The 21,487-nt window shown below is 40.7% G+C and overlaps 1 protein-coding gene across 7 annotated transcripts in view, besides 3 other annotated features; it reads right to left on the bottom strand.

Annotated features, from left to right (window-relative positions):
* CAMSAP2 (calmodulin regulated spectrin associated protein family member 2) overlaps nucleotides 1-1,778 on the bottom strand; it is a 121,812-nt gene extending 120,034 nt beyond the window's left edge. For all 7 annotated transcript variants that reach the window (NM_001297707.3, NM_001389638.1, NM_203459.4 and 4 more), the window contains exon 1: nucleotides 705-1,778. In NM_001297707.3, coding sequence (NP_001284636.1) covers nucleotides 705-843 — 139 coding nt within the window. In that variant the 5' untranslated portion in view covers nucleotides 844-1,778. The remainder of the gene's footprint in view (nucleotides 1-704) is intronic.
* Nucleotides 969-1,038: a silencer, noted in NCBI's record as "silent region_1677". NCBI's record gives its function as "represses an Ori minimal core promoter by ATAC-STARR-seq in GM12878 lymphoblastoid cells {active_cell/tissue: GM12878}" and the evidence as "EXISTENCE:reporter gene assay evidence [ECO:0000049][PMID:35858748]".
* Nucleotides 1,069-1,428: a silencer, noted in NCBI's record as "silent region_1676". NCBI's record gives its function as "represses an Ori minimal core promoter by ATAC-STARR-seq in GM12878 lymphoblastoid cells {active_cell/tissue: GM12878}" and the evidence as "EXISTENCE:reporter gene assay evidence [ECO:0000049][PMID:35858748]".
* Nucleotides 2,069-2,148: an enhancer, noted in NCBI's record as "active region_2302". NCBI's record gives its function as "activates an Ori minimal core promoter by ATAC-STARR-seq in GM12878 lymphoblastoid cells {active_cell/tissue: GM12878}" and the evidence as "EXISTENCE:reporter gene assay evidence [ECO:0000049][PMID:35858748]".

Genomic DNA, 21,487 nt, shown 5'->3' with positions numbered 1-21,487 from the left:
AACTTCCCAAAGTAGGGAGTTTTTGTTTCTTTTAATTTATGAAGCCAAAATACATTTGGAAAAAAGAATATGCCTCACTGATAATATGAAATGAAAACTGCACCCTACAGTCAGCAAACTGAACGCTGGTTTTAAATAACTGATTTAATAAGAACTTAACATGCGTGCAGAAGGCTGATACAGCCTTAAAGAATGACAACAAAAATTAATACTGCACTCGACACAGGCCACCTTACATCCAACGGAGCCTGAATAGCAGCCATCATTACAAATGTCAAAATCAATATAGTACTATGCACCATCCACCTTCTTGCAATAATAAAGAAACCAACTCAGATTTCTTGGTGGTGTAATCACAATTATGACTGAGGCAGAAATGTACGCAACACAATGAAGAAAATACCACAAATCAAAACCACTCTATGTAAAAACATAAAATTGCTCACTGGGGGATGGGGGGGACATTTTGCCATCCAATAAAAGGAATCTGGCCAAATCCCACCTGACCATTCACGTGCCCTTCATTGAAGACCAAACCTGCTTTCCTTATTTCTCCTTTCTTTCTCTTCCTAGCCTCCCATCATCTCCCTTAACCTGTACGAGAAGACAGGCACGGGGAGGGAGGGATTCGAGAATCGGGAACAAAAACCGAGATGTGGACCACATCAGGAGGAAGAGGGGAGGGAAAGGGTGACACCACTAACCTGTCCCAAAGGCTTTGGCCACCAGCCAGGCCAGATTGCAGGCGATTTTGGCCCTGGAGAAATCATAGTGGTCAAAAGGCTTGATGGCTGGAACAATGAACGTCTTTCTCATCTCCCTGGGGTCTGCAGCATCCCCCATCTTTCACCGCGGCTCCTCGGGATGTCCCGGCCCTAACCTTCACATGGCGTGGCCTCGCCACCACGGGGGTCGGGAGGGAGGGAGAAGCAAGCTCAAACCATCGGGGCCCGGGCGATGTCCGCCCGGGCGCCGACGGAGGAGAAGCTCAGCTGTCCGCGCCGCGCGCCTGCCGCCTCCCGCGGGAGCCGCCGCCGCCGCCGCCGCCGCTCCCGGGCATAGGAATGTGGCGGCGCCGTCTCCGTCCGTCCGTCCGCGCGAGGTCCGCCCCGTGCCCGCGCCCCTCCGAGCCACCCGCCCCGCGAGCCCGCGTGTGAGCGAGGCCGCCTCCCCTTTGTCTCGGTTTAGTCACACGGGCTTGGGGGAGGGTGGAGGCTGGAAGGGCCCGGAATTTTAAGGGAGGGGGGATGGGGGGAGCCTTCAACAATCACGTTGTGGAAAATGTCCCCGCCATCGCGATGCCCGCACGCCCTCGCCTCCCTCTCCCCTTCCCTCGGAGCGGGGAGACCCCTCAGGCCCCGGGTGGGCGGAGGGACGAGCAGGACGAGGGGGAAGCGCGGGGCGAGCTGGCCCACCCAGCGCAGCCCGGCCCCTGCCCGCCGGAGACGCAGCAGCGGAAAACGTCAAAATCACTGCGGCTCACAGGCCGCCGCCGGCCCGTCCCCTCCTCTGTGCTCCCTCCCGTCGCCGTCTCCTCCTTCCCCTGCCGCCGTCGCCGCTGCCGTCTCCCGGGTCTTCCTCCCTTGCTGACGGCGAAGGTGGTGGCCGGGGAGAGGCCGCGAATCCCAAGCTCTCAGTTCCTGTCTTATCAGTAATGTCCTTGTAATTTTTTCCTGCCCCCCTTTCTGCAGCTCGCTGGATCGTTCCCCCTCAGCCGCCGCCGCCGCCGCTGCGGTTTTCCGGCTGCGGCACTGGATGAAGGAGCAGATGCGGAGACTGAGCATGCGCCTTCGCGCGGCTCCGACCCACCCCCCCCAACCCCCGCCCCCGCCCCCGCCCCCTCCCCGCTTCCCTCCCGTCTCCGGCCCACTGAGCATGCCCAGCCTCGCTCCCCGCCCGCGCCCGGGATTCGGGGCGGCTGCCTTTTAATCATCGCTCTGGAGTACTCGCTTCAGTGGACATCCTCCACGTCCCTGGCTTTTGGCTGCTGCTGCCTGCACTGCTGAGAGAGGAAAAGGAAGGGAGGGAGGAGGGAGAGGCCTGGCAATAGCTTTCGTATTCTACTTACACAGTGCTTCATCGAAAAGAGTTGATATTTACTTAAAATGTTCATTATGTGACACACACTTTGCAGCGAACTTGACCTGCACTATCTCATTTAGCCCTCGCAATAATCCTGAGAGGTAGATGTCATTGCTGATTGTCCACGAAAGAGAGGTGGAGTTGATTAGGTCATACATGGAACTTAACCAGGATTGAGGATCTGTGGGGGCTCCAAACCTGTGTTAATTTCATGATATCGAGATATTTTCTTAACTCAGTGCTCTCCACTTAAATTTTATCTCTGAGAGGGCACACGTCCAACAATGCCTCCCCATTCTCTCAGAAAAGAGCATAAATTCTTTCACAAAACAAGCTAATGCCCTTTGTGATCTGGCATCTACAGGCCTTTATAGCTTCATTTTGTCAGAACTGCTCTCTATTTTCTTCAATGAGCATGCCTTCTCAGATCTCTACCTCCTTGCTCAGGGTGGTTCCTCTGTCCACCCAGCTTACTCCTACTGCACCTTCAAACTCCACAGTAGTCACTTCCTCCATGAAGCCTTCCCTGACAGCTGCTGACAACTTTCCAGTCAGGGCTGTCACACAGGTGCCTCCCCTGTTGTTCCCGGAGCACCCTGTTCTTATTTCTGTCGTAGCATCTGTCACATCGTGTGGCAATAATCAGTTACTTGTCGGTTTTTCCCATTGATGACATGATGACAGGGTATATCTCCAGCAGCTATACGGTGCCCAGCCCCATAGTATAATTGCTCAATTAATGGACTACATGTGAATATTATCAAAGTTAACACATACTGAGCTTACTTAAATCACTAGCTCCTCACGTCTCATTTTAATACATTATCTAATTTTATTTTTAAGTGATTGTTGTTGTTATTATTATTATTATTGAGACGGAGTCTTGTTAAGTCGCCCAGGCTGGAGAGTGGTGGCAAGATCTCAGCTCAGTGCAATCTCCACCTTTAGGGCTCAAGCGATTCTCCTGCCTCAGCCTCCTGAGTAGCTGGGACTACAGGCGCGCACCACCACGCCCAGCTGATTTTTTGTGTATTTAGTAGAGATGGGGTTTCACCATGTTGACCAGGCTGCTCTCGAACTCCTGACCTCAGGTGATCCGCCAACCTCAGCCTTCCAAAGCGCTGGGATTACAGATGTGAGCCACTGCGCCCAGCCTATTATTATTATTTTTTGAGACAGGGTCTTGCTTTGTTGCCCTGGCTGGAATACAATGGCAAAATCACAGCTCACTGCAGTCTCAACCTCCCAGGCTCAAGCAATCCTCCCATCTCAGACTCCCATATAGCTGGGATTACAGGCACACATCACCACACCCAGCTAATTTTGTTTATTTTTTGTAGAGATGAGGTCTCCCTATGTTGCCCAGGCTAGTCTCAAACTCCTGGACTCAAGGGATCCTCCCACCTCAGCCTCCCAAAGCGCTAGCATTATCTAATTTTAATCATTATAAAATCCTGTATTATCTTCATTATACAGATGAGAAAACTAAGGCTCAGAAAAAAAAATTAATTACTCTTATTCTGCACAACTAGTAAAGGCAGAGGGCAGCTCCATCAAAAAGCAGGTCCCTTTGTTTCTGTTTAATCCCTGTAAACACTCCTCCTTAAACCTAGTAGGACACAACAGATGAGGCTTGCTAACAATGTGGGATATGAAAAGAATTTGAAAATAATAATATGCCAGAGGGTGGTTGATGTAATTTTTCCAATAATTTAATTAATATTAATAGGGTTTTTCTCATGGGCAAGGAAGGCCCTTTGCTGTATCACATGGAGGTTAATAAAATTAACAGATAGATAACAACTCACAAAGCATGTTCATATGATAACTAATTTCCATATCTATTTTATGAAGTAGGAATTATTATTGTCTTCCAATTCTAGATGCAGGACTGAGAATTGCAAAGATTAAGTGGCATGGCCAAGATTTCATGGTTGATTCATATCTGAGTCTGGCTTCAAATTCAAGCACAGGTCTTCTGGCTCCACTCCTCTGGCACTTTTCCCTGTGCCTGCTCTCTTTCCGCATTATGGAGGCTAACATGTACATAAATAAATTTATAATACAATGTAAAAGTGATAAGTGCTGTAAGAGATATAAAGTGCAGTCAGGGGCCAAGCACAATGGCTCATGCCTGTAATCCCAGCATTTTGGGAGGCTGAGGCAGGTGGATCACTTGCGGTCAGGAGTTCAAGACCAGCCTGGGAAACATAGCAAAAACCTGTCTCTACTAAAAGTACAAAAATTAGCCAGGCCTGGTGGCACACACCTGTAATCCCAGCTACTCATGAGGCCAAGGCACGAGAATTGCTTGAGCCCAGGAGACAGAGATTGCAGTGAGCAGAGATCGCACCACTGTACTCCAGCCTGGGCAACATAGCAAGATTCTGTCTCAAAAAAAAAAAAAAAAAAAAAAAAAAAAAAGGCCGGGTGCGGTGGCTTATGCCTGAAATCCCAGCACTTTGGGAGGCTGAAGGAAGGTGGATCACAAGGTCAGGAGTTCGAGATCAGCCGTGCCAAGATGGTGAAACCCCATCTCTACTAAAAATACAAAAATTAGCTGGGCGTGGTGATGTGCGCAAGTAGTCCCAGATGCTTGAGAGGCTGAGGCAGGAGAATTGCTTGAACCTGGGAGGCGGAGGTTGCAGTGAGCTAAGATCATGCTACTACACTCCAGCCTGGGCAACAGAGCGAGAATCCATCTCAAAAAAAAAACAAAAACAAAAAACAAACCAAAAAAAGCTTGCAGGCAGACCATATATAGGTGGAGGGATTGGGAAGGTTTCTTGGAGACATCTGTTGAATCTAATGTTCTCAAATGCAACTTTGACTGAATTCTAGAGCACATAAATCATGTTAGGAAGAACCTATAGCCCAGAAAGGTTGAAGAGAGATACTGAAACATTTTACCAGTCATTATAATAATCTGCAAGCCAATACAAGATTCTCAGGGCCAGAAATCGTGCCTAATCACCTTGATGTTGCATGTGACCTAGCACAGTAGTTTGCTCTCAATGGGTGCTGGGTAAATACTTGTTGGATTTCATTGAAAACTATTTCAACCTAAATGAACAAGACAAGGAAGAGAAGGAAACAAAGTAAGTTGCTGCAACTTGTCCCTTGATTCAATGGTGATGCATTTAGTAGAGATGGCATTACTAGAACCCCAACTGGGAAGGAGTGTGTTTAGGAATGGGAAAAAACAAAATGCCTAAACAATGAGCAGCTTTTACTGTCAGGGAGGCTGTGAAACAACTTGGGGTCATAGTAGGAGGCTATTATTAAGAGGGAAACACCCTGAGTACAAAGAAGAAGGATTCATTTTCAGGGAGACAGACACTCTAATAGGGTGTTCTTTGTGTCACCTTCAGAATGATCCTTTTAAAACCTGGAAATCTCTGCAGAATATCACTGTCAAAAAGAAATGCTCTCCACTTCCCCTTAAGATATCTGACTTTGTTCAGAACAAAACCCAGTGGTTCTCTGGACCTGCTTGTCCAACTGCACAGCTATCCCTCTACTTTTTATCTCCAGGCCTAGGGGCTCAGTTCATTGAGCAACAGTTACCCTTATTCCCGCACAGACAGCCCTCCTTCTCTCTGTTGTAAACATGTTTCTCTCTTTTCTCCTGGAGAATTCAAAATGCCAGCCAGACTTCCTTCCATATGGCGATCCTCTATTTCTCTGTCTGATAGATTCATAAGTTCATTCATTCATCAGCCAGTATTGATAGAGCCCCTGGGTGCTAGGATGCGATGTTAAACAGACAGCTGAAGAAGCAAAGTTTTGGTAAGAAAACTTGGAAATCCTATGGCCTGAGCAGCCCAGCTCTCCTTCATTGTCATGTCCTTATCTCCGTAAGTTAGAAGCCTTGTGACTTCACCTATAGACGTCTTCAGTGTGTCCCCTCAGAAGCAAAGAAGTACTAAACCAGCAAGCACTATAAGTAGGACTTCACATTATTTTCTTAAATAGAAGGCATATACACATGTACTATCATTCACTTTCAATAAGTTACACTAATAGCAGCTAACAGTTATTGGCACTCTCTATGTAGCAGTCCCGATCCTATAGTAACTTATTTAATCCCCACCACAGCCCCTATTATCATCCTCATTTGGTGGCTGGAGAAACCAAGGGGCAGAAGACTTAATTTTGAGTGGTGAAGACCTTACGTTCCTTTGAAACTCAAGGGACTAGAATAAGTAAACTTCAAATCAACCAGGTTAAGAATGGCCAAGGGTGGGCGTGAAGAGGGGAGAAAGAATGCTAAGCTAATTGATGACAATAAGAGGTTCACTTGGTTGAAGTATAGCCGCCTCTAATAAACCAACATGAGATAGAAGAGTCTGTGCTATATATCTGACAGTCTATCATTTCTAGATACACTCGTGGCTTTCATTGGAATAGCTAGCAAAGTTTTATAAGAATTACCTCATCAACCTTCACAATAGTTCTAGCGAGGCCTGCGTAGTATGATGCCAAGTGTGTGGCTGGAATGACTGACACACCGGGAGGCCACATAACTTTCCAGAGTCACACTGTGAGTCAGTGTCTGAACCAAACAGAGAAACCCGGCTCTCAGGTGTCCAGGTACAGCACCATATTTTCCCAGACCCCTAAAACATTTTTCCTTGATTAATCCCCTACTTAAACCAAGAACCCTTAGCCTCCAACAATGGGCAATGCTTCTTTTATTTTTAACATCATTGAAGGCAGGTCAGGGTGTTAGGAGGTAACAGAAAAAGCACTAGGCTAGGAGGATGGACTCTGGGTTCCAGTGCTGCTCTTTATATCTGCCATGTGATTTGAGGAAACACGTGCCACCTCCCTCCTCTCAGGTTTCCCCTGCAATAAAACAACAGGGTAGATAGAACCAGGCACATTCTAAAGTACCCTTATTACCAATAGTCTATGATAGGAGGATGACATCTACATACTTTACTAGGTTATAACTGAAAGTTAAATCAGTCCGCTGCCTAGTATTCAGGATTTAAATCTTTAGAGCAGTAGTTACTTTTTTATTTCCAGAAAGTTTTAAGATACGATTGTATAGAAAGGCAAGGGGAGGTAACAGCAGAAAATGGGATCCTCCAGCTAAGGTAGAGACTAAATAAAAAACGGAAGGAGGGAATTGAAGAACGAGAACACTTGGACACAGGATGGGGAACATCACACACCGGGGCCTGTTGTGGGGTGGGGGGAGGGGAGAGGGATATCATTAGGAGATATACCTCATGTAATGACGAGTTAATGGGTGCAGCACACCAACATGGCACATGTATACATATGTAACTAACCTGCATGTTGTGCACATGTACCCTAGAACTTAAAGTATAATAATAAAAAATAAATAAATAAATAAAATGGAAGGAGGCCGGGCGCGGTGGCTCACACCTTCTCATTTTTACTTACTTAAAATATAAATTAATAATATTTCTGAAACTAACCTTTTCAATCTTTCCCAGCAATGTGGCTTTTGCTCCCACCATACTACTGAGACTATTCTCACAAAAGTTATTACAACTCCTTGTCGTGACTTTTGTGCTCCTTCTCCTTTGGCCTCTATAGCTTGTAGTTCTTATGAGTGTCCCTTTGTTCCTTTTTTTTTTTTTTTTTTTTTTTTTGAGATGGAGTCTCACTCTATCACCCAGGCTGGAGTGCAGTGGCACCATCTCGGCTCACCGCAAACTCCGCCTCCTGGGTTCAAGTGATTCTCCTGCCTCAGTCTCCCGAGTAGCTGAGATTACAGGCACCCGCCACCACGCCCAGCTAATTTTTGTATTTTTAGTGGAGATGGGTTTTTGCCATGTTGCCCAGGCTGGAGTTCTTAAAACTATCTTCTCTCTCTGGTTCCAGGGACTTCCCTTAGGCACCTGGTTCACTGTCACTTTTCGAATCCCTTTTCAGCTGCCCTTTTCACCTCCTTTGTTTGTTTGCCTTCCCAGCAGGGCAGCTACTCGACTCCGTCCATCCTTATTTACCTCCGTCCTTTACTGTCCCCAACTTGGCTCAATGATCTCTTTCTGGCTTCAACCCTCATCTCTATGGAGGTGGTTCCCCAATCTGTATCTCAGCTCCTGATCCCTTTCCTGAGTAGCTTCCTAAAGCTTGTTGAGCGTTTTAACCCAGATATAGTCCTAGGATTTCAAATTCAGCATATCAAAAACAAACTCATGAGATTTCCCTCTTACTTGGCTTCTAGTCCCAATCTTCCAAATTCTACTAATGACACCCTTCTCTGCTTAAAATGTGTCATCCCTGAGCTCCCCCTTTCTCTCATCTCACCCCATGCAAGCAATCCAAATGTCTGTCACTTCCATGTACTCTTTTCCATTCCCACAAATGTCTTATTTCCTCTCATATACGCCTACTGTTTCTCTCTTTTGAACTTACACGTTAACACATTAACCTTCCTAAACCAAACTTTGAGGATTCAACAAATATCCACAGTCAGCAAACTTTAGGGACTTCAGACCATGTGTCTGAGATTGTACTAGGCCTTTCACATACTGAATCTTATTTAATTTAATCGTAAAATAGCATGTAACGTAGTGTTAAATTTGGCCCAAGGCTGCCTCCATACACAGCAAACTGCAACCTAATTTAGTACATAAACTGCAATCTAACTTGAGAGTATATTCTTGTAACAAGTAACTGAATCTCAACCAATCACAGCCACCAAGCTTTCGGCCAATCATAAGCTGCAATAGGCTCAGACATGTCCAAATAAAGCAAACTCCAAGCTGCAACCAATCAGGTTATTTCTGTATGTCACTTTTTTTTTCTGTCTATAAATACTGCTTGCCCACATTGCTGAGTGGAACTCTGTGGACCTTTAAGGATTTAGGGTGTTGCCCTGATTCATGAATTATTTGTTTGTTCAAATAAACTCTGCTAAATTGCATTTGTCTAAATGTTTTTTAAAACAATAGAGATTAGCCTAATTTTATACATGAAAAATGGAGGCTCAGAAAGACTGAGGAAGTTCCTTAAGATTTTATGATAAAGAGCAGAACCGATGCTCAAACTCATGGTTCCTGAATTCAAGTTCAGGAATCTTTCCTGCACTTGAACTCAACTTCTCACTCAACAGCTTGGTGGCTATGCATTGCTTACCAGATATAAACATTTGTCTTGACTTTGAAGATCCTCTACAACATATCCTATCTTTACATTCATATTTCCCTAGTATCCTCCTGTATATATCCAGCCAAACGGCTCTAAGGACCTTCAACATATTTAAGTCTTTTTAAGGCTTATTGGTTTGGCCTTTGTTAACCTTTCTCTATAATGCCCTTCATGAGCCCAACATGTGCTATGGAAATCTTCTCATCTTTCATTAATGATTTTAATGCCCCCTCTTCCATAAAGCTTTCCCTGCCCCACTCTTGGGTCCCTGATATATCTGTGCTCTCTTGTGGTATGTTTTGTCTTGAATTGTAATTCTTTCTGTGTTCCATAAAGGAAAAGACAATCTTATTCTGCTTCACTAGCAGTGCTTAATATATAATAGACCACAGCAAGTATTTCTTGAATAGAGGAAAGAATCAGTGAATTAGCAGGTAACAAAAAAATACATACTAACACACATTCTAGGGCCATGAAATATATCAATATAACTTGACTAGCTTATATGGGAATTAAAGATGGAAAGTTGATCTCCTTAATGCTATACCAAGTGGTTCCCAGTGGTTCCTAAACACAAAGCTATTATGTTTTATTAAAATTTATTCTGAGAAAATGTAGTGATTTTTTAATACACCTGATTTTTTTCCTCTGAATGACTATTTTTTAATTATAATTTTCTTTCTGCTTTTTTTCTGTTAAAATGTCCTTTCTCTTATGAAATGATAGTGGTTGTAGATACTAATTGAGCTTTTGTGTAGTCTCCTTTAGTAAAATGAAAAAGTTAATACCTTTATATTCACTTCTCTCCAATTCATTTATTCATTTAAGAAACTTGGTTGCATTGTGAAATCCCAGAGTGTGGAGGTCATCGCTCTAATTAACCAAAATAAGTGACTTAGTCCTGATTGCTTCTTTAACAAAACTGGCTCCTAATAGCATTCAGAAAAACAAAGCAAAAATATGTTATCTTTGTGTTTCATATTTGCTATGGAAACAGTCATTGTTGTCGTTTCAAATATGTTGGTATTTGAACTAGTCGTGGCATATGGGCTAAATTTTCTTTCTTTTTAAATCTCTAAAAATATAAATCAAATCTTCCTTTGAAACATTAGTTAGGAGCTATGCTTTAACTTTCATGGACCTCTTTTTAAATAGATTTTGAATCATCAGTGCATCAGAGGAAATGGTCTTTTTCTTCCTTTCATTATGACCTATGGACAGCTGGAAAAATATATTACACTTCTTTTTGATACTTCATCTTTTTAGTTAGGATACTAGGAGGATTTTGAATATATGATTTGATTAACAGAAACAAAACATGGTGGCGTCCTTCCCTGATTTAGCTTTCTCATCTGTTCCCCATCTTCCTCCTAATTTTCTACATCAGAGAAATGTAACTTCCTGTTTACTTTCTTATGCTGTTAATTTAAAGGTTCTGGATAAAACTGGAAGAGGAAAATTATAGCTTGACGTCGAGAATTTGAAAAGGCAAAAGCTTGTGGCATCCAAAATGATATTCTTTATAGAATTTAGATAGCTCAGAATGTTACTTTTGCCATATGAGAAACACTTTACTTTTAGATTATTCAAAATGAAAGCTGGAATTGGAAAGAAAAGAAAAGCAACAGCAACAACAACAAAGCCTAGTGGGTTAAAAATGTGCTGACCTAGTCCTTCACAAATCCAAAATAAAAGATTTCTTTAAAAATAGAAGAAATACTCTAGTGCTTTTACTAATCCATTTAAAATCTGCTTAAGCCCCTTTCTTACTGTATTTTTTCTCTCTTTTTTCTTACTGTATTTTAAAACATTTTTTGTTACATGAAATTAGTGAACACAATCCAGAATAATTACAGCCATTTGAAATACAATTCAGAATAACAACCATTTCTAAATTAGGAAATTTTTATTTATTTATAACTAGAACTGGAAATTGAAGAACTGCCTGGATGTGTGCTAATAGTAAACCATTATTCCCTTACCAAGCCTTGTATGTTTACATTCATATTCACATAAAGGGATTGGTCCAAGCAGGTTGTATACCGTAATCATTTAACTTTTTACTTTGCTTCAAATAAATTTTATTGTTTACCTTCCATCAGCCACTTGGCTAGTCAGGTTAACTTTTCAGAGTGAGGGTAGGAATGGGAAACTGGAGTGGAAACGTGGACTGTGGGGGCAGGGTTGAACAGGGGGTGGTAATAGCTACAGCCTGTACCCAAATCTTAGCCAGCTTCTTTTTTTAAAAGTATGTTATTTTTTTCATCAGGAAGAGGAAAAACAGTATAAATGATTTTTTTTTTTTTGAGACAGAGGCCTACTCTGTTGCCCAGGCTGTAGTGCAGCGGTGCAGTCACAGCTCACTGCAGCCTCAACCTCCCAAGCTTAAGTGATCCTCCCACCTCAGCCTCCTGAGCAGCTGGGACCACAGGCACAAGCTACCATGCCCAGCTAATTTTTTGTGTTTGTTTGTTTTTTTGTTTTTCTTTTTTGTTTGTTTTTTTAGAGACGAGGATCTCACTTGTTGCCCAGGCTGGTCTCAAACTCCTGGGCTCAAGCAATCCTCCCGCCTCGGCCTCCCAGAGTTCTAGGATTACAGGCATGAGCTACTGTGCCTGGCCAAAAACAGTATAAATAATTTAAAGAACCCTACATCAAGACTACAAATAAAGCTAGACAGCCTTCTAATTACAATTGAGTGTATTTTTTATACTTAAAAAAATCACAGTTTTTCTAATAATGAAAGCAATCTATATTCATTTATTTAATTTAAAAAAGAAAAGCAAATGGAGGAAATAAACATCTATAATTTCATTATCTACAGATACCCTTTGTATATCTTTCCATTCATTTTGTGCCCAAATGGTATCATATTGTACATCCCATTTATAACTTCTTTCATAAAACAATATTATTTCTATCATTTGATATTGGTAAATGTTCACCTAAAACATAATTTTAATGCATAATAGAATTTCATTATAGAGATACATCCTTTTATTTCTTATTTTAACCAAGCCTCTGTTAAGGATATGTTCATTCTTTCTAGATTTTTGTTTTTATGGAATAATAGTGTGACACCATAAAGAATACCCTTGAACATACATTTTTGCCTACCTCACTGATTATTCTTAGATGTGCATAAATTTGTTTATCAACTCTTCTTTTTTATTATTTTTTTTAAGATGGAGTCTTGCTCCATCGCCAGGCTGGAGTCCGGTGGCACGATCTCGGCTCAGTGCAACCCCTGTGTCCTGGGTTAAAGTGATTCTCCTGCCTCAGCCTCCCAAGTAGCTGGGACTACAGGCGTGCACCACCACGCCCAGCTAATTTTTATATTTTTAGTAGAGATGGGGTTTCACCATGTTGGCCAGGACGGTCTCAATCTCTTGACCTTGTGATCCTCCCGCTTCGGCCTCCCAAAGTGCTGGAATTACAGGCATGAGTCACCACACCAAGCCTATCAATTCTTTGTCTATAAAATGCAGTAATTTTTCCAAGTTGATCATTTCTCTTTTAATGTTAGTGTTAGCATTTTGGGTTGCATTTGTTCTTCTGTGGTCAAGTCTATCAATCTTTTACAATTTCTGCCTTAGATGTCAACCTTAGGAAAGCCCTTATTCCACTGCCACTCCCACCCAAAAGGCTATACAACTGAATACATAAATATTCATGTAATAAATGAATAAACGTGTTGATACAGACATTTTGTCTCCAGAGATATTTAGACTCCTCTGTTTTGATCTCAAGAACATTTTAGCTCTCTATACTAACACAAGTGTTTAAATCAGAATTTTACCAAATAGGTTGATTGTGAAGATAGTGTTTTTAGGGTGAGCACCATTAGGCTAGTTTATTTTATCAATTTTCTCTACTCTGCAGTTAAACTATTCTGATTTTTTCATTTTCTTTTGCTGTTTTACTGAGAATATTTTTATTGGGATTAGTTATGTTCCATGTCAATTTACAATAAAGATTTTATTGTATTGCACAACTTTTTTTGTCCACATCAAATTCTAACAGCAAGAGCTTTTGCTATCATAAATTTTCTTTTTCGGCCATTATTTTAACAAGTTCAGTTTTCAGTCACATTTTTGTAGCTCTAATTTTGTTAAAAAGATGTGATTCTCCAAGCAAAACTTTTTATCTATTACAACTTTTACTTTACGCAATCTGGGCCATTGTCCTTTTTATTTCATAGGGATTATTTCTACTAGCAGTTTTTATTATGAATTGAATAAAAGACTGATGGGCTGAGAACTGATATTGTAAATTATGCTACTATACCACACAAGAGCTCAGGACCTCTCTGTCAGCCCAGGCAGTGTAAGTGATGTGATGGTTCAAAATATGTCTACAAATCATTTGATATTCTCTTCAAAAGGTGGAGCCTGATTCCTCTTCCTTTGAACATGGGCTGGACCTCCCAGAGAAAAGAATTGGAACACAATTCCAAAGAATTTTAAAAGGCATAAGAGATAGCATCCATAACATGGTCACCGGAGAGTAGGCCATAAAAGGCATTGCAGCTTCCCTCTTACTCTTTCTGGAAGTACACCCCAGCCCCGGGAAATCATGCTGCCATATTGGGATAATCAAAAGGCCTATGAAGGGACCCACTTGCTAAAGAACTGAGGTTGCCTGCCAAGAGCTATGTCAGTGAGCCATATTGGAGACAAATCCTCCAGTCTTTGTCAAGCCTTGAATAGATTGCAGCCCAGCCAATAGCCTCATGAAAGATTGAGCCACAATGATTCCACTAAAATGCTCCTGGATTCTCAACACTCAGAAACTGTGTGAGATAGTTTTGAGTTAATTTGTTAAATAGTAATAGATGGCTAATAAAGGGGATATGCCAGTGAGTCAGGAGGAGGGGTCAGAAAAGACTTCCCGGAGATGGTATTTGGGTGGTAGTTTGCTCTCCATCAGTGCTAAAGCAAATGCCCCTCTCTGTATTACTCCTCCACCTGCCTCACCAGACCTTCTCCTTACAACCCTACTTTTCTACCTTCCTGTCCTTATCCTTGTTTTCCTCCCCATTCTCTCTCTCCCTTCCTTTTCTCTTCCCAATCAAATAGCAATGAAAAGAGTTGTATAAATTGGTCTGGATTTGTGTGTGTGTGTGTGTGTGTGTGTGTGTGTGTGTGTGTGTGTGTGTAAAGGAAACAGCTTTGATTATTACATATTACCACCACCTCCCCCATCCAAATTACTTCCATGGGGTAGATTTATATGTGATAGATTCTCCACTCCTCCTCCCAATCCTCCAGCAGCCTCTTCATTTATTTTGTGCCTATTTTGGGTGGGCAACCCAAGGATTTCAAATAAACTGTTTGGGGAAATAGTTATTTTATAGTCAAACTTTAGGGAATGTTTAAAACCAACTATACTATGGAAACAGTGATTTTAAGTAGTCAAATTATGTCATTGATTTTTATGCAAGAACAGAACAAAAAGAATGGATCCACAAACACAAAATGTATTTTGCCATGAAGAAAACTTGCTGACAGGGATGGGATGAACAGCTGAAAACACAAAAGTAAAAGCTATTTGTACTTCTTTTCAAAAATTTTTCACTGGTGTGGTGAAATTGCTTATAGAATTGTCCATTCCACTTAGAACTCAGTGCTTATAAATGACAGAGGATATATTTGTAGTTTATGTAATAATAGATTTTCAACTTATTTACTCGTATCACTCACACAAGTAAAGCATTTTAATTGTCTCTCACTTGTTTTTTGTTTTTTTTTTGTTTTTGTTTTGAGACAGAGTCTCTCTCTGTCACCCAGACTGGAGTGCAGTGGTGCAATCTCAGCTCACTGCAAGCTCGGCCTCCCGGGTTCACGCCCTTCTCCTGCCTCAGCCTCCCAAGTAGCTGGGACTATAGGCGCCTGCCACCATGCCTGGCTAATTTTTTGTATTTTTAGTAGAGACGGGATTTCACCGTGTTAGCCAGGATGGTCTTGATCTCCTGACCTCGTGATCCGCCCGCATCGGCCTCCCAAAGTGCTGGGATTACAGGCGTAGCCACCGTGCCTGTCCTACTTGTTTTTAATAAATGTGTCTGCAGTTATTCCCTAGGGTCCATCAGCTGTAATGTTCTTTGTGTCTTGAGGTAATTTCTTTCATTAAATTATTTTTCTCCAAACACTTCCAGCTGAATACTTAGATAGTATAGCATTTTATGGAATAATTGTATGTAATAAAGCAATACATTTTCAAAATATTATGTGTTACAGTAGCATCTCATTATAGCATGACTCTGCATAGAGCTATCTCTTCTGAAACATAACTAATTATAGTAAAAGTTTGAACCATTGCTTAGTCTGTAAGTTGCATACAGGCTAACACCCACTCCCAAATAGAATACCAACATTTATTTAAAAGTATTATTGGCTTAATTTTAAATATCTTAATGAAGATTAAAAGCAACATTCAATTTAGAAAAATGATTTCCACTCAGCATTGCTCCAGTTGATGAAAACTTCAAAAAACAATTATAATTCAAAGGACTGTATTGTGTTGCTTTAGACATTCCATGAGCCTGGAGAAAATGCTGAAGGAAACAATACAGGGGACAGCCCTGCCTGGTGGAAAGATGGGCCAAGTGACCTCAGAGTCCGGTTCATCCTTGAATTCTGCAACACTTTAGTGGATACTGACAGTTTTGTGGAACTTCTTAAAAATTGAGTATTACATTATTTAAAAAATATATTAATTATTGTAGTTTAGACACTAAGTGACTTTTACCACAATCAGTTTTTAAACTGATTCAGTAGGATCTCAGGTACCTTTTCTAAGAGGAAATGCTGTAAAAGAAAACAAATTACCACACTTTTCCCAAACAAATGTCTTAGTTCTTGCTAGATTCCAAATGAAACTATAACTACGTTATGTAACAAATGCTTGCCAAGAGTATGATTGGTTTTTAATCAAAGGTCTCATTGAAACACCCACTTCCCTAATTGCATCCTTTCTCCAAAAAATGAGAACACAACTTATGAAGGGAGAAAATCAGGCTCTACCATTTATGAAATGTTTGATTTGTTTTACTTGGTATGTGGGTTTTTAGAATTTATAAAAAGTAATCCTCTGACACCAAGTTGTATGATGAATAAAGTGTTCCAGCCAAGTCATAAATCTCAGCAAAGGGAGGTTTAAATGGCAAGTGTTGGGCAGGACAGTGCCCTCACTGCAGTACAACTTCTCTGCTCAAACAAAGACTCATTCATGAGTCAAGTCAGCCACTTAATGCTTGAGTCTGTCACCAGCTAAATATAAGATTGCTAGAGCTGTTAGTGAAGTTTATCAGGAAGACTCAAAGGCATGGAAAGAAACATACAAAAATGTACTGGGCATCTTTTTATGCATCAGACTTCTTATAAACCAAAAATTATTTGGGCACATATATTTCATCAGGAAATAATGAAACTGAGAAACTTAAAGTTCAGCGTATCACACAACCAATGTTTTTGCTTGTTTTTTTTTTAATTTCATATTCTGTCTTAAAACATATAACCAGGTTGGGCATAGTGGCTCACACCTGTAATCCCAGCACTTTGAGAGGCCTAGGTGGGAGGATTGCTTAAGGCCAGGAGTTTGAGACCAGTCGAACATAGTGAGACTCTGTCTCTACAAAAATAAAAATAAAAAAGAAATCTAGCATTATCTTCAGAGAAGTAAATTTTTAAAAATAATTTTAAAACTATAACCATCTTTAAAATATATGTATCTTTTAAAAAGATATACCTATATATTATATATATATAAAAAACCATCTTTTAACTAGAAAAATCAAACAACCATTAAAAGCCAAGGTTTACTGTTCAAATGTGGTATAATTCACACTTAAAAAGGGAAATCAGAGTAATCATAATAGAAGTGTTTATAGACCAGCTCCTCTTTTGTGGGTTGTAATCTTATTTTAGGGCCTAATTAGAGAAGATTCCTTTTTGATACTTTCTCTACTGGATTACAAGGAATATGTTATAGAGAATGTTCTGCCAGAAAAACTAAAATAAAAATAGTGTAAGAATAGATTAGTATAACCGTTCTCAACATTTTTTATTTTCAACTCACCATTTTAAATTTCTCATATCATTTGTCCATTAAAATACCTAAAACAGGAGAAGCATGTCCCACAAGCCTCTTTTTTAAAGGCTTAAAAACAGAAGAGGAGGACTATACAGGTATAAAAAGCTAGCTCTGTTTATGTCTCTCTGCTGCAACCATTTTTTGAAGTTTTCCTGCCCTGGGTGAGTCCCTTGTGCTTCCCTCTCACACTGCACTCCCACCCAGCAGCAGTGCATGGCCTGTTGGAGACCCTGGTAATATTAGGCAGTGCAGTGAAATGGAAGAATCACTGCATCAAGGTGCCTCCAGAGGATGAGTTTTACTCTCAGCTCTACACTTAACCATAGGGAAATGTGCTTAACTCAGACTCAGTTTTCCCATTCTGAAATAAGAGTGTTGAAAAAAATGCTAGTAACCGTAAAATTCTATGGTCTAAGTAAATCAAATCACATTTAGCATCTGGGTCTGCCTTTTAAATTACTTTTATTTATTTTTTTTTTTTGAGACGGAGTTTTGCTGTTTCACCCAGGCTCTTTTCGCACCTGGCCCGATTACTTTCTATAGTTACTTAAAGAATTGGCCTGGCACGGTGGCTCATGCTTGTAATCCCAGCACTTTGGGAGGCCAAGACAGGAGGATCACTTGAGGTCGGGAGTTTGAGAGTAGTCTGGCCAACGTGGTGGAACCCCGTCTCTTCTAAAAATACAAAAATTAGCCAGGCTTGGTGGCACATGCCTGTAGTCCCAGCTACTCGGGAGCTGAGGTGGGACAATTACTTCAACCCGGGAGGTGGAGGTTGCAGTGAGCCAAGATCGCGCCATCGCACTCCAGCCTGGGGGACAGAGCGAGACTCCATCTCAAAAAATAAATAAATAAATAAATAAATAATTTTAAAAAATTACCTATTACTCTCTGTTACTTTTCTTCTTTCTTTCTTTCTCTCTCTTTCTCTTTCTTTCCTTCCTTCCTTCCTTCTTTCCTTTCTTTCTGTCTCTCTCTCTTTCTCTTTCTTTCTGTCTCTCTCTCTTTCTCTTTCTTTCTTTTTTGAGACAGGCTCTTGCTCTGTCACCCAGGCAGGTGTGCAGTGGCACAATCTCTGCTCACTGTAGCCTTGGCCTCCCAGGCTGAAGCAATCCTCCCACCTCAGCCTCCTGAGTAGCTGGGACTACAGGCATGCGTCACCACACCCGGCTAATGTTGCCCAGGCTGATTTGTTACTTTCCAATGTACTCACTTTATCATTGGTCTTGGGTGCATCCCTTTTAATTCTTGTCCTTTTTCCTCTTGGTCCTGTCTCCTCCTGGTTGCTCAGCAATATTCCTCTCTCTATCCCTATGCTCCACCCCAGCCTATTTCACCTTCTCCTTCATCATTCACTCGTTTTCACTAAACACTGCTGTCTTCACTCTTTTGCTTTAGTGAAGCAATTTCAGCAAGTGCTGCTTGATTTTAAATTATTTCATTATTTGCTGTGAAGAAAAGAAGAAGAAAATACTGTTATTAAGTCAATATTTCATAAGACATCTTTAATCAAGTTGAAAATGTTAGAAAAATGTTTCTAACATCATGCAATATGTCATTACTACATTAAGACACTAATGTAATTATTTGAAGGTATAAATCACTCAGTATTGGTTCTACTGTATTTTTTTAATTTTAAAATATTTCAAGCTTACCAAAAGTTACAGAAAGTAATATTGTAAAGTATTGACCACTGATCTTTGTCAAATCTGAATATTTTGCTATTTTTGCTTCAACTTTTAAAAATAAAATGTTACAGATGCAATTGAAACCTTCTGGCTGGGGGCAATGGCTCATGCCTGTAATCCCAGCATTTTGGGAGGCTGAGGCAGGCAGATCACTTCAGGCCAGGAGTTCGAGACCAGCCTGGACAACCTGGGCAAAACCCTATCTCTAGGAAAAACAAAAATTAGCCGGGTGTGGTGATGCACGCCTGTAATCCCAGCTACTCGGGAGGCTGAGGCATGAGAATCCCTGGAACTCAGGAGGTGGAGGTTGCAGCAGTGAGAGAGAGAGAGAGAGAAAGAGGCCGGGTGCAGTGGCTCACACCTGTAATCCCAGGACTTTGGGAGGCCAAGCAGTCAGATCACGAGGTCAGGAGATCGAGACCATCCTGGCTAACACGGTCTAACCCCTTCTCTATTAAAAATACCAAAAATTAGCTGGGCGTGGTGGCGGGCGCCTGTAGTCCCAGATACTCGAGAGGCTGAGGCAGGAGAATGGCTTGAACCCGGGAGGTGGAGCTTGCAGTGAGCCGAGATGGCGCCACTGCACTCCAGCCTGGGTGACACAGCGAGACTACATCTCAAAAAAAAAAAAAAAAAAAAAGGAAAGGAAGGAAGGGAGGGAGGGGAAGGGAAGGGAGGAAGGAGGGAAGGAGGGAAGGAAGGGAGGAAGGGAGGAAGGGAAGAAGGGAGAAAGGGAGGAAAGGAGAGAGAGAGAAAGAAAGAAAGAAGGAAGGAAGGAAAGAAAGAAAGAGAGAAAAAGAAAGAGATCTTCTGTACACTCTTCCCCATTCGATTCATCACCCTCTACCTTACATGCATGCACTATTATACACCAAATGTTTTTCCTTTTTATACTGTTATTATTTATGAATGTGTAATAAGTAAAACAAAACCTATACTGACATGTTTTTAAATTTCATATTAACGATGTCATACTACCTTTCAATGTTGAGATTTACCTATCTTGATGCATTTAGCTCAAGTTCATTCACTTCCAGTGCTGGATAGAATTCTCTTATACAAATACACCATGATTTGTTTATGCATTTTGCTGCTAGTGGATATTTAGGTGTTCTAGTTATTCACTGTTGCAAGCAGTGTTAGAATATTCTTGTACTTATTTTCTTGAGTACATGTAAGGGTTGTTAAGAGTTATGAATATGTGCATCTTTAACCTGACTATATATATCTAAATTGCTCTCAAAAGTGGATCGATCCAATTTAAGCTCCCACTAGCAGTGTATGAGCTTCTCCTGTTTCACATCCATACCAGCATTTGGCACCATCAGACTTTCTGGTAGGATGAAATGCTAGCTCATTTTGGTTATAATTTGCATCTCTCTGATTACAAGTGAACTAAAAGTGAGCTTGAACATTTTTATTTTGTGTTGAGTTTTTTCTTCTGTAACTTGCCTATTCCTATCTTTTGTCCATTTTGCTTTTGTGTTGTCTTTATTTGATGTAAAATTTTCCTTTGCAGATTGTGTGAAATAGGTATTTTAGTTTTTTTCATATGATTAATGAGTTTTTCCAGCACCAATCATTGGGAAGTTTGTCCTTTCCCCACGGCTTTGTAATGTTGTATACAGTTTCCATGCATAAATGTTTTCATTTTGCAACTCTATTGATTTATTTTCCCATCCCTGCATCAATACCATGTCTTTATTATCACGTAAAGCTTAATTATAATACACTTTCTAATATGGTAGGAAAAACTCCTTTACCTCGTTATTTTTCTTTAAAAGCATCTCTTCATGTAAATTTCAGAATTCACTTGCCAAAACTCTGTAGCGATTTGCACTGGAATTACAATGAATTCAGAGATTAATTGGGGGAGATTGGACATTTTTACAGTATTGAATTTTCCAATGAGCAAAGTATATCTCTGCATTTATGTAGGTCTTCTTTCATTTCTTTCAATTAGTTTCAGAATTATTTTCTAAAAGGTCCCTGACATTTTTTTTTTGTTAGTTTTACTCCTAAGAATCTTAAGGGTTTTGGTACTGTTATGTTGAAATATGTAGATGCAGTTCAGTTTTTTAAAACTCTATTGTTCTAATAATTTATTGATTCTCTAGATTTTCTACGCTAATTGTGATAGTTGGTAACTTGTGAATTGTTATAGTATAGTTTCTGTCTTTTTAATCTTTATATCTTTCTTGCTTTACTGTCTTACTGCTGTGACTTGAACTTCCAGTACAATGATGAATATACATTGTGATAACAGGTTTCCATGGATGGTTCTTGACTTTAAAAGTAGTACTTATAATAATTCACAAGTAAGTATCCTGTTTGTATAAGGTTTTGGAAGGCAACCTTTATCAGATTAAGGAAGTTTCTTTTTATTCCAAGAGCTTTTGTTTTGTTTTAATCATGATGAGTATTATCAATTCTGATATGGACTATTATTTTTTGCATTTATTTTCATAATTGAGATCACCTCTGAACTTACT

Source organism: Homo sapiens, chromosome 1 (genome assembly GCF_000001405.40).
Source record: "Homo sapiens chromosome 1, GRCh38.p14 Primary Assembly".
NCBI lineage: Eukaryota > Metazoa > Chordata > Mammalia > Primates > Hominidae > Homo > Homo sapiens.
Note: the sequence above shows the minus strand (reverse complement) of the source record. Positions and strands in the feature narration are given on the sequence as shown.